The sequence below is a fragment of the Homo sapiens genome, chromosome 1 (assembly GCF_000001405.40).
Source record: "Homo sapiens chromosome 1, GRCh38.p14 Primary Assembly".
In the NCBI taxonomy this organism is placed as follows: Eukaryota; Metazoa; Chordata; class Mammalia; order Primates; family Hominidae; genus Homo; species Homo sapiens.
The window spans coordinates 78,042,170-78,055,196 of record NC_000001.11 but is presented as its reverse complement, the minus strand read 5'-3'; the positions used below and the strand labels follow the sequence as shown (position 1 = coordinate 78,055,196).

Below are 13,027 nucleotides of genomic sequence, written 5' to 3'. Positions count from 1 at the left end.
CTTTCCCCTTCTGTTACATGAGGATGCAACAAGATGGCTGTCTATGAACCAGGAAGTGGGCTCCCACAAGATACCACATGGCCGGCACATCAATCTAGGACTTCCCAGTCAATAAATTTTTGTTGTTTAGAAGCAACTCAGTTTTTGATAGTCTGTTACAGCAGCCAGACAGACATATACATACATACAAATTGCCCAAGATAACCTGCAAGAGCCTTCCACTCCACTCAGGGTAGCTGGGTTGGTGATTGCAGGTGGGAGAATGTGAAGGGGCTGGCTATTAACCTACAGGTAGCCAGGGTTTGAAGAGGAGTCTACCCCTGCCCAAGGGTGTAAACTTTATTTTAGGGTTGTTCAGATATCTTCTTCAGGGTACTTCTAGCACAACAGCAGTCTTATCCATTTCATACCCTCCTGACAGCAATGAGGTCTATAAGGCAGCTGGTTGGATTCTCCTCCCACTTCTCAAAATGAGTCATGTTTTTCTTGCCTGAATTTTTCATATAAAAATGAGGCTGGTGCTCAGGAGGGGATATCAAGCCTACATAATGACTGTGATATATTTATAACTTCTCAGATGGTATGATGTAAATCCAGAAAATACCATTATATTCCATTTAAACTGAATATTATTTAGAAAGAAAATACAGAGAATGAATGGTTGAGTGTGCTTCTACTTTGTAAAATATGTGTCAGGGATCCTTGCTTCTTCCGAAAAAGATCTGAGTTATTCTCATTGCCTACAGAATAAAATCCATACAACTTCAAGGACATTTGTAGTCTTACTACTATCTATATCCTCAGCTTTCTCTCCTACTATATCCATTATCTACTTTTATTTAGTAAACTTTTAAGGAGCAGCTAAACCATCTAGCTAACCATCTAAGAACAAGATTTAAAAAGGAAAAAAGTCCCAGCCCTCAGGAAGAAACAGAGGAGTAACTAAATTCAATCTTATGTGCAAATGCTATGTTAAAAATCATGCAATAGCAGGTATCCAGATTTCTGGATTCACAGGGTAGGCTTCTTGGAGGAAATTACAGGACTAGAAAAGTGAGTAGGAGTTACTGGAACAAAGAACAGCATGAGAAAAAGCACAATGGAATGAAACAGTTAAATATTGTTGAATGTAAAGGGGATTATTAAGAAGTGAGATTGGAACAGTGGGCATAGGAGAGGACTCAAGAGGCAGACAGGAATATGAGACATTGTTTGGCTGGTAGTAATTGGTTTGTAAGTAATGAGGAGCCCCTTGCAGGTTTTTGTTTGTTTAGACAGTCTTGCTCTGTTGCCCAGGCTGGAGTGTAGCAGCACAATCATAGCTCACTGCAGCCTCAAACTCCGGCTTGAGTGATCCTCCCACCTCAGCCTCCTGAATACTGGGACTACAGGTACGTACCACCACCTCTGGCTAATTTTTTTTTTTTTGGCTTTTTTTTTTTTTTTTTTTTAAGAGGCAGGGTACCACTATGTTGCCCAGGCTGTTGTCAATCAAACTCCTGGCTTCAAGGATTCTCCCTTCTCAGCCTTCCAAAGTGCTAAGATTAGACTGGTATGATCACAGCATTAAAATACTAAAAGAGGATGAGTGGAGTCAGGGAAACCAAATTCAGGCTGCCTCTTTAGAATCTGCATTGTAATAACCCAACAGTGACAAGTGACAACTGCCAACACCTTCCAGGCAAAGACCACCAGGGATTCTCACCTGCAGTTTATTGCTCCTTGTGAGGAGGGTGACAGCACTCTATGGGAAATCCTGGGGGTTTCAGAAAGAGACATTACAAAGGATTTGGGCTTGTGTTAGGTGATTTGGGAGAGGGTCCAAAGCATGGGTTTGTTCTGGATAGGGTGCTGTCAGGAAATGGGTGCAATTCTATGACCAGGAATCTTAGTAAACCTATCTGTAAGGTAGGAGAAATTACCACAGTCAGAGCAGTCTTATCTGCTGTTGACATGCTGTGCAATTGTTTATGTGCAACAGAATGCCAAGGCCTTCCTGCAAGTGCCAAGGCCCCTACCAGATGTCAGGGACTGCTTCTCACACTTTTTCTACTCAATTTTGACGGGCTTACTTCATATTCCTCAGACCTCAATAGTAATATTCACACCCAATTCCCAATTCTTTCATTTTTTGTAGATTTTTGTAACTTGTTTTTCCAGGGCAGGGGGTGCTATATGCAAATCAGTAAAACCCTATTTTCTCTATTCGTCCTAGTTTCCCATTTGTGAACCAGAAAGATAACAGTTCCACTTGCCAGTTATTTGCACTGCTGGGAAATGATAAAGTCTGCAGAACATTTCATGTCTTCTAGAAGTACCACATAAATACAGAATATTGACTTTCAAAAGAGCTCAGTGCTAGTGTCAGCAAGTTGAGAAAAGGAAGCAGCTTCTGGGAAGCCTCAGGAAGCAGCTCCTCATATGCTGTAACTCATTTAGGAAGTGACTATGCTTGCAAACAGAGCCTCAAATTTCATAGTTTCTAAGATGGATATATTAATTAGCTTGACTGTAATAATTATTTCACTATTTATATCAAAACATCGTGTTGTATACCTTAAATATATACATTTATTTTCAAAAAATTTTAAAGATATGAGTGATGTTCCTCACTACCCCCACCTAAAGGCTAGTCTCTTTCCTCATAGCAGAACATAAAAAAAATTAACACCTACATAAGATATTAGTATTGTAATCAATACTAAAGCTTTATGCTAAAGACACTAGGTTTTAACTACTGAATTGGTGAGGATCCTTTTATTCAACAACTATTTTTTAAACTCCAACTATAATATGTTTCAGGCAAAGTCTAGGCCCTTGAGGGCCACATCAGTAAACAAAGACAAAAATCCTTGCCTTTGTGGAGCTTCTATTGGGGCAAGGGGGCAGACCATAAACAAAATAAGTTAAATATACATAGGATAGTATGCTACGGAGAAAAATTAAGCAGAGAAGGGAACAGGGAGTGTTGCACCTAGAGATGATCAGTGCTAGCCTCACCAAGAAGATGACATTTGAACAGACTTAAGGAAGGGCATTCTGTAGGAAGAGGTTCTGGCGGAGGCAAAAACCAATGCAAAAGTCTTAAGGCTCCAGCATTCAAGGAGACCAGTCTGGCTGGAGCAGAAGGAACAACGATTCTGAAGAGGTAACAGAGCCCGTAGCCCATCATAGTATTTTGGTTTGTTCCAAGTGAGAGGGGAAGCCATGAAAGGTTTAGAGCAGAAAATGAGATACAAATTGTATCTCAGAGACAGCAACTTTTGAAGAGTTTTGCTAAAAAGGAGAAATGAGGTGGTAATACAGGGGATGGGAACAGGTGTCAAAAGAAGGTTTGTCTGTTTAAGAGAAATAACAGCATGCTTGTGAGGATAAAATCTCACCTTAAAAATCACAATTCTACGCCAGGTGCGGTGGCTCATGCCTGTAATCCTAGCACTTTGGGAGGCCGAGGCAGGCAGATCACCTGAGGTCAGGAGTTCAAGACAGGCCAACATGGCAAAACCCCGTCTCTACTAAAAATACAAAAATTAGCTGGGCATGGTGGCATGCACCTGTAGTCCCAGCTACTCAGGAGGCTGAGGCAGGAGAATCACTTGAACCCGGGAGGCAGAGGTTGCAGTGAGCCGAGATCACACCACTGCACTCCAGCCTGGCAACAGAGTGAGACTCCATTTCAAAAAAAAAAGAATAACACTTCTTGCCTTTTCTGCTTCTCAAGTACTCTGCTTTCTTTGACTGCTTTATGTATGGGGAGAGAATAAGTCACTGAATTACTCATTTATTATTCAATGAACTATTTGGTATCTAATATCACACGCAAACTAATCTAAACAAGTAAAAGGAAGTAATTTCTGAATTCTGCAGAGAAACTGCATCTGAATTTCCAGTTTCTGGACATGTAAAATTTCTAACTATAAAATTTATCTTTTTTTTGTTAATAATATTTCTTTGTTATTCTTTTAATGTCCAAGGATCAATAATGATGACATCATTTCTTTTTTTTTTTACATTTTACAAAATGAATGTATTGAGCAAAGTGGGGTTCTTTTTTTTATTATACGTCTTTTCTTAAGTTTTCACATTCATTATTTTTTCCTACAATATTTCCACATAATAGAGAATTAGGAAAATATATCATGGTAAAAACTACTTGCCAAACAATTACAGTAGTCAAATATTCAAAATGCCCCTTCAACAAAATGTATGACCATAGCTCGAGAGTTTCATGTAACCTGGATATTTTAAAAGATGGTATGTATTGGCCGGACACGGTGGCTCACGCCTGTAATCTCAGCACTTTGGGAGGCTGAGGCGGGCAGATCACAAGGTCAGGAGATCGAGACAATCCTGGCTAACACAGTGAAACCCTGCCTCTACTAAAAATACAAAAAATTAGCCGGGCATGGTGGCAGGCACCTGTAGTCCTAGCTACTCAGGAGGTTGAGGCAGGACAATGGCATGAACCCAGGAGGCGGAGCTTGTAGTGAGCTGAGATAGCACCACTGCACTCCAGCCTGGGCGACAGAGCGAGACTCCCGTCACAAAAAAAAGAAAAAAAAAAAAAGATGGTATGTATTAAACTTTCTCAAGAAGAGTCTTTGCATTTATGTAGGAGTTAATTGTTCTTTAGATGAGATTAATTTACAGGGTTTTTTTTCTTTTTACTGAATTGTTCATTTAATTGTTTTGAAAAAAGGCATCAGATATGAGGGATTTTTGCATAACTGGCCATCTGTCTCAACTTAATAACAAATCTTAACTGATTCACAGCCTTCATTAGCTTATTCCTTCAGGGACCACAAAACACTAGCTGAAGTCCACAACTGTCAGTCTCACATCAACATCTTTTTGAGGCAATAAATATTTTTGTGGTTAAGTCTGAGGCTTTTATTGAAAAAAAAAATTTGTTTACAAAAGACGTTTTTCCAGGTTAGTGTTTAGAATTTGAATGCAGCTACCAAGAATCTCACAGCTGCTATGTAATAGACTTGGAACCGGCCAGGTGCAGTAGCTCACGTCGGTAATCCCAGCTCACTTTGGGAGGCCGAGGTGGGCGGATCACCTGAGGTCAGGAGTTTGAGACCAGCCTGGCCAACATGGTGAAACCCCATCTCTACAAAAACACAAAAATTATCCAGGCATGATGGCGTGTGCCTGTAATCCCAGCTATTCAGGAGGCTGAGGCAGGAGGATCACTTGAACACAGAAGGCGGAGGTTGCAGTGAGCCACGATCACACCGTTGCACTTCAACCTGGGCGACAGAGCTAGACTCCATCTCAAAAAAAAAAAAAAAAAAAAAGAGGTTTTTCTGGGTTCGTATTTGGAATTTGAATGCAGCTACCAAGAATCTCACAGCTGCTATGTAATAGACTTAGAACCAGGAAACCAGAATTCAAATCCTGGCTCAGCCACATACCAGCCTATTTAACTTCTCAGAGTCTCACTTCACTAAATTGTAAAATGAAAAGATTCTGGTGAGGATGGAGTGAACACACTGTAGGCTTACAGGCCTAGCACAGCTGTGGGCACATTATGGGCCCTGATTATCTGCTCCACTTGACATCAAGTCTTTTCCCTTTCTCCTCAATAAAGAGTGGCTAGCTCTTCATGTAGTGCTATTTATATCCTTACAGCCACCACTCTAGAAAAAAGGCAGGACTTCTGAGTTAACTATCTATTCAATCCCATTAAGGGGGGCAAATGTTTTTGTCCCCACTGACATCTCAAAAGTTATTTACATCACAGGGCTGGGCGTGGTGGTTCACGCACTTTGGGAGGCCGAGGCGGGCAGATCACCTGAGGTCAGGATATCAATTCAAGACCAGCCTGGCCAACATGGTGAAACCCCGTCTCTACTAAAAACACAAAAATTAGCCAGGCATGGTGGTGCATAATCCCAGCTATTAGGCAAGCTGAGGCAGGACAATCACTTGAACCCAGGAGGTGGAGGTTTCAGTCAGCCAAGATCGTGCCACTGCACTCCAGCCTGGGCGACAGAACAAGACACCATCTCAAAAAACAAAAACCAACCAAAAAAAGTTGTTTACATCATTATTGCTGAGGTAATTGCTTGCTGGGGAAATGGGCTATGAAAATGGAATCTCCTTGGTGTGCATTTCATTTTAGTGAGTTACTTCTGTTTCAGAGTGAACCACTGAAATATTATGCGTACTATGCTATGATGACCAATACTTTATTCTGCATATAATTAACTTTTTCTAATCCAGATGGAAAACTTGCATTAATGTTGGTTATATGCATAAACATGGTAAAACTGGGGTTTTACCCATATACCCGGGTTATAAAATGTTATAAACTTTGATCTAACACATGAAAACAACTCGTGTATATTATCTTGGAAACTGACCTTGCAAGTCAGTGCACTGAAAATGTTGAACGTGGCTACCAAGCTATTGCTGAGACTCTGGAAAACTTGGGTAACAATATAGCTTCATGGGAGGAAAAAAAAAAGATGGGCACAATGGCTCCGTGTCTGTGTTATTCAAGAGACTGAGGTAGGAGGATCACTTGAGAGTAGGAGTTTCAAACCACACTGAGCAACACAGAAAAACCACATCTCTAAAAAAAAGTTTTTTTAATTAGCCAGATGTGGTGGCACATGCCTGTAGTCCCAGCTACTTGGGAGGGTGAAGCAGGAGGATTGCTTGAGCCTAGGAGTTTGAAGCTATAGTGAGCTATAATCGCACCACTGCAGTCCAGCCTGGGCAACAGAGTGAGACCCCATCTCATTAAAAAAAAAAGAAAAGAAAAACAGAAAACAAAAAAAAAGAATACACTGAATTCAAATCCAGGCTCTGCCACTTGCTATGTGTAATTCTGGAAAAATTCTGAACCTCAAAGTCTGTTTCCTCTCTGTGAAGTGGGGATATTAATAATAATACTTACTTCTTAGGGATTAAGTAGATTGAATAAAATCATGTACCTTGAGCTCAGAATAATGTCATATATAATGATGAGAAGTGTTAATGCAAAATACACATGCTCCTCTACTTACCAAGGTGTTATGTCCCAATAAATCCATTGTGAGTCAAAAATATCATAAGTCAAAAATGCATTTAATACCCCAATAAACCCATAAAGTGGAAAAATCTTAAGTCCAGGAAGTTACATCCTAATAAATCCATGGCGAAGTCAAAAATCTTAAGTCTAACTATCATAAACCCAGGACCATCTGTAACTAAAACTGAAGTCCCTGGTTACAGCAAAGACATTTAAAGTTGTCAGTTAAGTATGCTAACAAGCTCACTAGCTTAGGAATCAGAAGATCCAAGTTTAAATTACAGTCAAGTTTTTTTTTGCTAGGTATGTGACCTTGGCTAAGGGCCAATCACTTTGTACTTCAGTCCTTCATTTAACTGTTAGGTATTAATCATATTAGTTACCATGTATTAAGCCCTAACCATAAACTATGCAATCTGATACGTTTACATACGGACTCCACTCTTCACAATACTCTTCAAGACAAATATTCTAATCTCTATTTTACAGATGGCGAAAACTGAGAGAAGTTAAACTCATTCAAGTCCACACAGCTAGTAAAGGGTAGAACCTGGCTCCATGTCCAAGTTATCGTATTTAACCTGCCACCTGCCTCCCCTAGAGATCAAAGGAAAGTGTCCTGTGAAAGTGTTTTTTGAAAAAAAAAAAATCCTATATAAATGTGAAGTATTATTAGTATCCTATATCAATACAAATAATTCACAGATGGGTTTGCGATTTGCCCCTTAGTGCCTGGGAACTTCGAAAGAACAAAGGGTTACACTTTAAGCTCTCTTTCGTCTCCTCTTGGAATTTTGCCTTGACCTCAATTTCCCTTGAACAGACCTGATAAACAACTAATTAAAGAACTCCAGGTGCCGCTGTAGGCCTCAAAGACAGCTCTCTGCACTCCTCTGAGTCCAGGGCAACAAAATTATATGCTTTTCCTAGAAATGTGGACAAAATATTTTGTTGAGCTAACTTTTCACACCTACCTTTGCAGTTCACTTGGGTTAGCACAAATAAAGTGGTCACATAAACGTTCACATAAACTAGTGCTTTAGGTCATGCCTGTGTCAAACTTAGTTCCAGGCCCCCATGAAATCTAATTAAAGCAAATTTCAGTCCCTTTTTAAGGATACGATGTAAAAGAGCTGATCTTCCTCATGAAAATTTTGTTAACTAGTCCCACGTGATTAAGTATGAATCTCTAGGTTATCCACTCTTGGAATAACAGCCCAGCTTTTTAAACTTCTTGGAAATACCACCAAAGGGTTTCTGGTGCTGATGTTAGAAATGACAGATTGGGGGAAAGTGGGCCTCCGTTTGGTATTACCTGGAAGGCTCTTCAATGTTTTCCCCCCCACTTAATCTGGGTATCACCTGCAAGGCACTTCTATTTTTTTTTTCCCCCGTTAATCTAGGGAGATGACCTGCGTGACTCTCACGCCTGCGGAGGAAACAGGAGAGTAAAGTCCAGATGAAGTGGAGGGTATTAATCTGCCCCGCCAGATCTCGAGTCTGGGAAGGTGCTCACGCCTTGAACGGCCGGCGGAATCCGGGACATCTGGAGCAAACACATTTGCAAGCGGAAGAAAGGTTGCCTCCCTCAACCCGCTTCCCAAAGGCCAGATCTCGGAGCAAGGGGGACTGTGACTTTCTGCGGTCCTGCCAAGTTAAATTTTCCCTTCCAGGGAAGGCACACTCACTTTCCCCCGGGACGCCCCCGGCGGACTCAACACGGCATCGGATTTCGCGCTCCGGGAAACGCCGCTCAACCCTCCTGGGCCCACAGAAATACGCGCGGCGCGGCGCGGCGCGGCGGAGAGGCGGGAGAGCCTGAGCACCTGGCGCCTTACCTCCGACGGCGAGATTTCAAACGCGCCCGCGATCTGGGCGTAGAGCTCCTGGATGCTGGAGAAGCCCTCCACTCGGCCCGTGGCACTACCGTGCGCCAGCTGCGCGTGGAAGACCAGCCTGCGTGCGGGAGCCCGGGACGCTGAGAGGCTCCCGCCGCCCGCGCCCGTCGGCTCGCCCTCCACCAGCCCGGCGGTCTCCTTGGACTTGGCCTTCTTCTTCCCCCGCAGCTTCAGGGGCATCTTGCAGGGCCGAGAGCGCGGGCCCACCTGCGCTGCCGTCCGCCGCCTCCTCCCCCCGGCGCCTCGGACTTTGCGCCCCGGGCCCCGCGCAGGTAAAAGCAGCCTCCAATGGCAGCCGCGCTTCCGCCTGGCTGCGTCGGGTCAGGGCCCCGACCTCCACCCCTGGACCGGAGCAGCCGCCCGCCCGCCCAGCCTCCCCCGGGATGGATCTGGAGAGAAAGAAAGTTACGTAGTCCCTCATCCTATCACCAGGTTTATCCCTACTCCTTGTAAAAAATGGCTCTATTTACGTGAACGCCTGAGGATGCCGACGCTACAGAACAATACGCCTTAGAAGGCAAACACGCTGGCCCTTCTCTGCTTTTCATAAATCTGTAGTAGGCACCCACGCATGATTTGGCCACAGGCCTTCGGGTCCGTACGTCTGGACTTTCGGGGATAGGGATTTAAGTAGAAGTCAACCTTCGTCTGCATTTTCTGCGTCTTACGCTCTGCAGGGCAGAATTGGAAGAGAAAGTCACATAACCTTGAGCTTGGTGCTACGTTGTATTCATAAACCCCCTCAGCCGGGTCCTTGGCACCTCTGAGTTTCCCTTTTGCCTATTTCCTGGGCTGCTTCCTCTCCCAACATTCAGCACGCCTCCAAAGCCATTTGCCCCAGCTCTGCCCTTCTTAGTCTCTACAGAGGACCTTGCCTCATATAGTACAAAGAAAATTGAGGCCATTCGGTGTGAAGTGTGAGTTCCCTCAATTCCCTACCTCGCGTTTATTGCATTGTTTTCAAGTCCAGTCCCCTCCAACTACGCTTTTTACAACAAAGCAAAACAGTCTTGAATTATTAGCTACGAAATTTCCTCACTTCTCTGCTCTTAGAAGCACTGTGATCAGACTTTGCCCCCACACTACTGAAATTTCACTTACTATGCAATTTCAGTGGAGTGAAATCACTATCATATCTTAATTACCAAATACAAGTAATTCTTTTAGGTTTTTATCTTACTTGGTCTGCGTTGCCCATTTCATTCTTCTTAAATTTTGTCCTCTTTTGGCTTCCTTACCTCTCCTCTCCCCGTCCCCACCCTGCTCCTTGCTAACTGCTAGTCTCCAGGAGTTGCATTCACCGACAGTTTTTCCTCGACAAACTTCCCTTCTTACTTAGCTTTGCATGTTCTTCCTGTATGGTCACATCAACATTCTCGGTTTCACAGACGTTGTTGTCTACCAAATGTCTCCAACTCCAGCTTATTCTACCAGAAAGGGAATGTACTGTAGGAAACCCAAATTGAGACTGAACAAAACTGACCTCATCATTTCTCCTGCATCTATCTTTTCTTTTTTTTACTCCTGATTTCAGTTAATAGGATCACCAAGCACTCCCAGACCAGACATTGTGGAGTCGTCGTATCAGGATTTTTCCTCTTCCCTCACCTCTCACATCAATTCAGTCCCGAAAATCCATATTTCTCAACTTAAGGTTAGCAGATGTACTGGGGGAGGAGAGTCTTAAGAATTCTTTAGGAGGCCGGCGCGGTGGCTCACGCCTGTAATCCCAGCACTTTGGGAGGTGGAGGCGGGCGGATCACCTGAGGTCAGGAGTTCGAGATTAGCCTGGCCAACATGGTGAAACCCCGTCTCTACTGAAAATACAAAAATTACCCGGGCGTGGTGGCGCATGCCGGTAGTTCCAGCTACTCGGGAGGCTGAGGCAGGAGAATCGCTTGAACCCGGGAGGCGGAGGTTGCAGTGAGCCAAGATTGTGCCACTGCACTCCAGCCTGGGCAACAGAGCGAGATGAAAAAAAAAAAAAAACTTTAGGATAACTTTAACATTTTTGTTTTATGTTTCTGTGACTTAGAAAAGTAATACAGGGACACCTGCACTCAGCCAGTGCTGCTGCTGTTGCTTCCCAGGAGAGCCAGGGCAACTTTCCACTTGGCCCTCATCCAGCTTCAAGTTTCTTCATCAAATCAGATAACAACACTCGAGCTTGTAGCCTTGTCCGGGAGACAGCAACGCAAGGAGCCAAAATGGTTTCTTTGTTGGAATGCTTTAATTCTCCATATGGCACAAAATATTTTCCTGAATATGCAGCGAAAATTCCTGGTAAATCCACACAGAAGCTTTCTGAAGTAGCAAAGGAATACAACCTCACTAGAGGTTCCATCCCTGAAGAGGATGCTGGGAAATTAGATAACACCTATGCTGTGTTTGCACCTCATGGAACTTTACTAGTAAAGCACAGAAAGGTCCATCTGCTTAACACTGGTGTTCCTGGAAAAATGACGTTTCAAGAATCCACAATGTTGAGTCCAGGCAACAGTTTCTCCACATTTGATACTCCTTACTGCAGAATGAGTCGGGGCATCTGCTATGACACTGGTTTGCAGAGCTTGCACAAATCTACACACGGAAAGGCTGCCAGCTGTTGGTTTATCCAGGGGCTTTCAGTTTGACCACTGGACCAGCCCACTGGGAATTGCTTCAGGCTCTTGATAATCAGGTGTATGTGGCCACATTCTCCTGCCCAAGATGACAAAGCCTCCTATGTTGCCTGGGGACACAGCACTGTAGTGAACCTTTGCTGCTAGGGCTCTCAAGGAAGAAACAATCATGTATTCAGACATAGACCTGAAGAAGCTGGCTGAAATCCATCAGCAGATCCCCATTTTTAAACAGAAGCAATCAGACCTCTGTGCAGTGGAGATGAAAAAGCTCTAAAGTTTATGTTTCCAACGTGTCGCAAAACAAGAAGATACGATTCTGCAACATAATCAACTCCCTATTCTTTAATGAAGATCCTTTTTTTAAATTTCACCCTTTTCCTTCCCAAGGAGCTCTCTATTAAGATGATAAATCCTCAGCAAGCTGATATTTTCCACACCACAATAAGTAGTTAAAAAGGAGCCTGGAGCCGAAGAGCTGGCTCTGAAGTTCCTTCCGTATTTAAGTTGCCTCAGAGCAGTTTGTGAAAGTAACCGATCTTGGTATCCTGGTGATTGATTCACCTAATACAAATATATTTGTGTCATGAACCTCTTATCCCACTTGCTGGAGTTGGAATCCATTATCTGGAAAACTTGATCTGATGCCATTCTTTTCCTAGCAGTACCTTAAAGTTCCATTTTTTGTCCACAAGTAGCTATAGGACGTAAGGTGATAGATCTTTGGTGTTTGCTAGGGGAGGTTGCAGCCCCTTCCTTCCTAGCAGCCTTTGGGCTCTTCAAATTTAAGAAGAAGCTCATCATTCAACCCCAGACCCTCTTGGTCTTTGGGGGAAAGACTGGGTCAACAATGACCCCCATGGGAGAATGGCAGTGGTGGCATTTGGTGAAGGCAACAGTATGAATCTGCAAAAGATTTGATAGGGTCGAGTGTCTGGAAGTCCAAAGTCCCTTTTTTTTTTTTTTTTTTTAATTTTTCCCCTAGTAAGACTTTCTCGCTCCATAGATAAGCAATCACTGTACCAAGTGATTCTTAGACTTTTTGGTCTCAGAATTCTTTTACACAGTTAAAAATTAAGGACTGAAGCCTGGCGTGGTGGCTTACACCTGTAATCCCAGCACTTTGAGAGGCAGAGGCAGGCCAGGACCTGGCCAACATAGCGAAACCCTGTCTCTACTAAAAATACAAAAATTAGCCTTGCGTGGTGGCACACGCTTGTAGTCCCAGCTACTCTGGAGGATGAGGCATGAGAATCGCTTGAACACGGGAGGTGGAGGTTGCAGTGAGCCGAGATCTCACCACTGCATTCCAGCCTAGGCAACGGAGCGAGACTGTCTCAAAAAAATAAAAAATAAAATAAAATTTTCAAATATAGACTAAGGACTGAGGCCCAGCACGGTGGCTCACGCCTGTAATCCCAGCACTTTGGGAGACCAAGGCGGGAGGATAGCCTGAGTCCAGGAGTTCGAGAGCAGCCTGGGCA

The 13,027-nt window shown here is 43.5% G+C and overlaps 1 protein-coding gene and 1 pseudogene across 3 annotated transcripts in view; one reads left to right on the top strand and one right to left on the bottom strand.

Moving 5' to 3' along the window:
- GIPC2 (GIPC PDZ domain containing family member 2) overlaps window positions 1-10,227 on the bottom strand; it is a 93,475-nt gene extending 83,248 nt beyond the window's left edge. Inside the window, exon 1 of one of the 3 annotated variants that reach the window (NM_001304725.2) lies at window positions 10,103-10,227. In NM_001304725.2, the coding sequence (NP_001291654.1) occupies window positions 10,103-10,120 (18 nt within the window). In that variant the 5' untranslated portion in view covers window positions 10,121-10,227. Of the gene's footprint in view, window positions 1-8,712; window positions 9,232-10,102 lie in introns of those variants that run through there. The other 2 variants (XM_047423230.1, NM_017655.6) reach the window with 2 other exon arrangements.
- Window positions 10,985-12,110, top strand: LOC100131495 (nitrilase family member 2 pseudogene; annotated as a pseudogene).
- The last annotated feature ends 917 nt before the right edge of the window (window positions 12,111-13,027 follow it).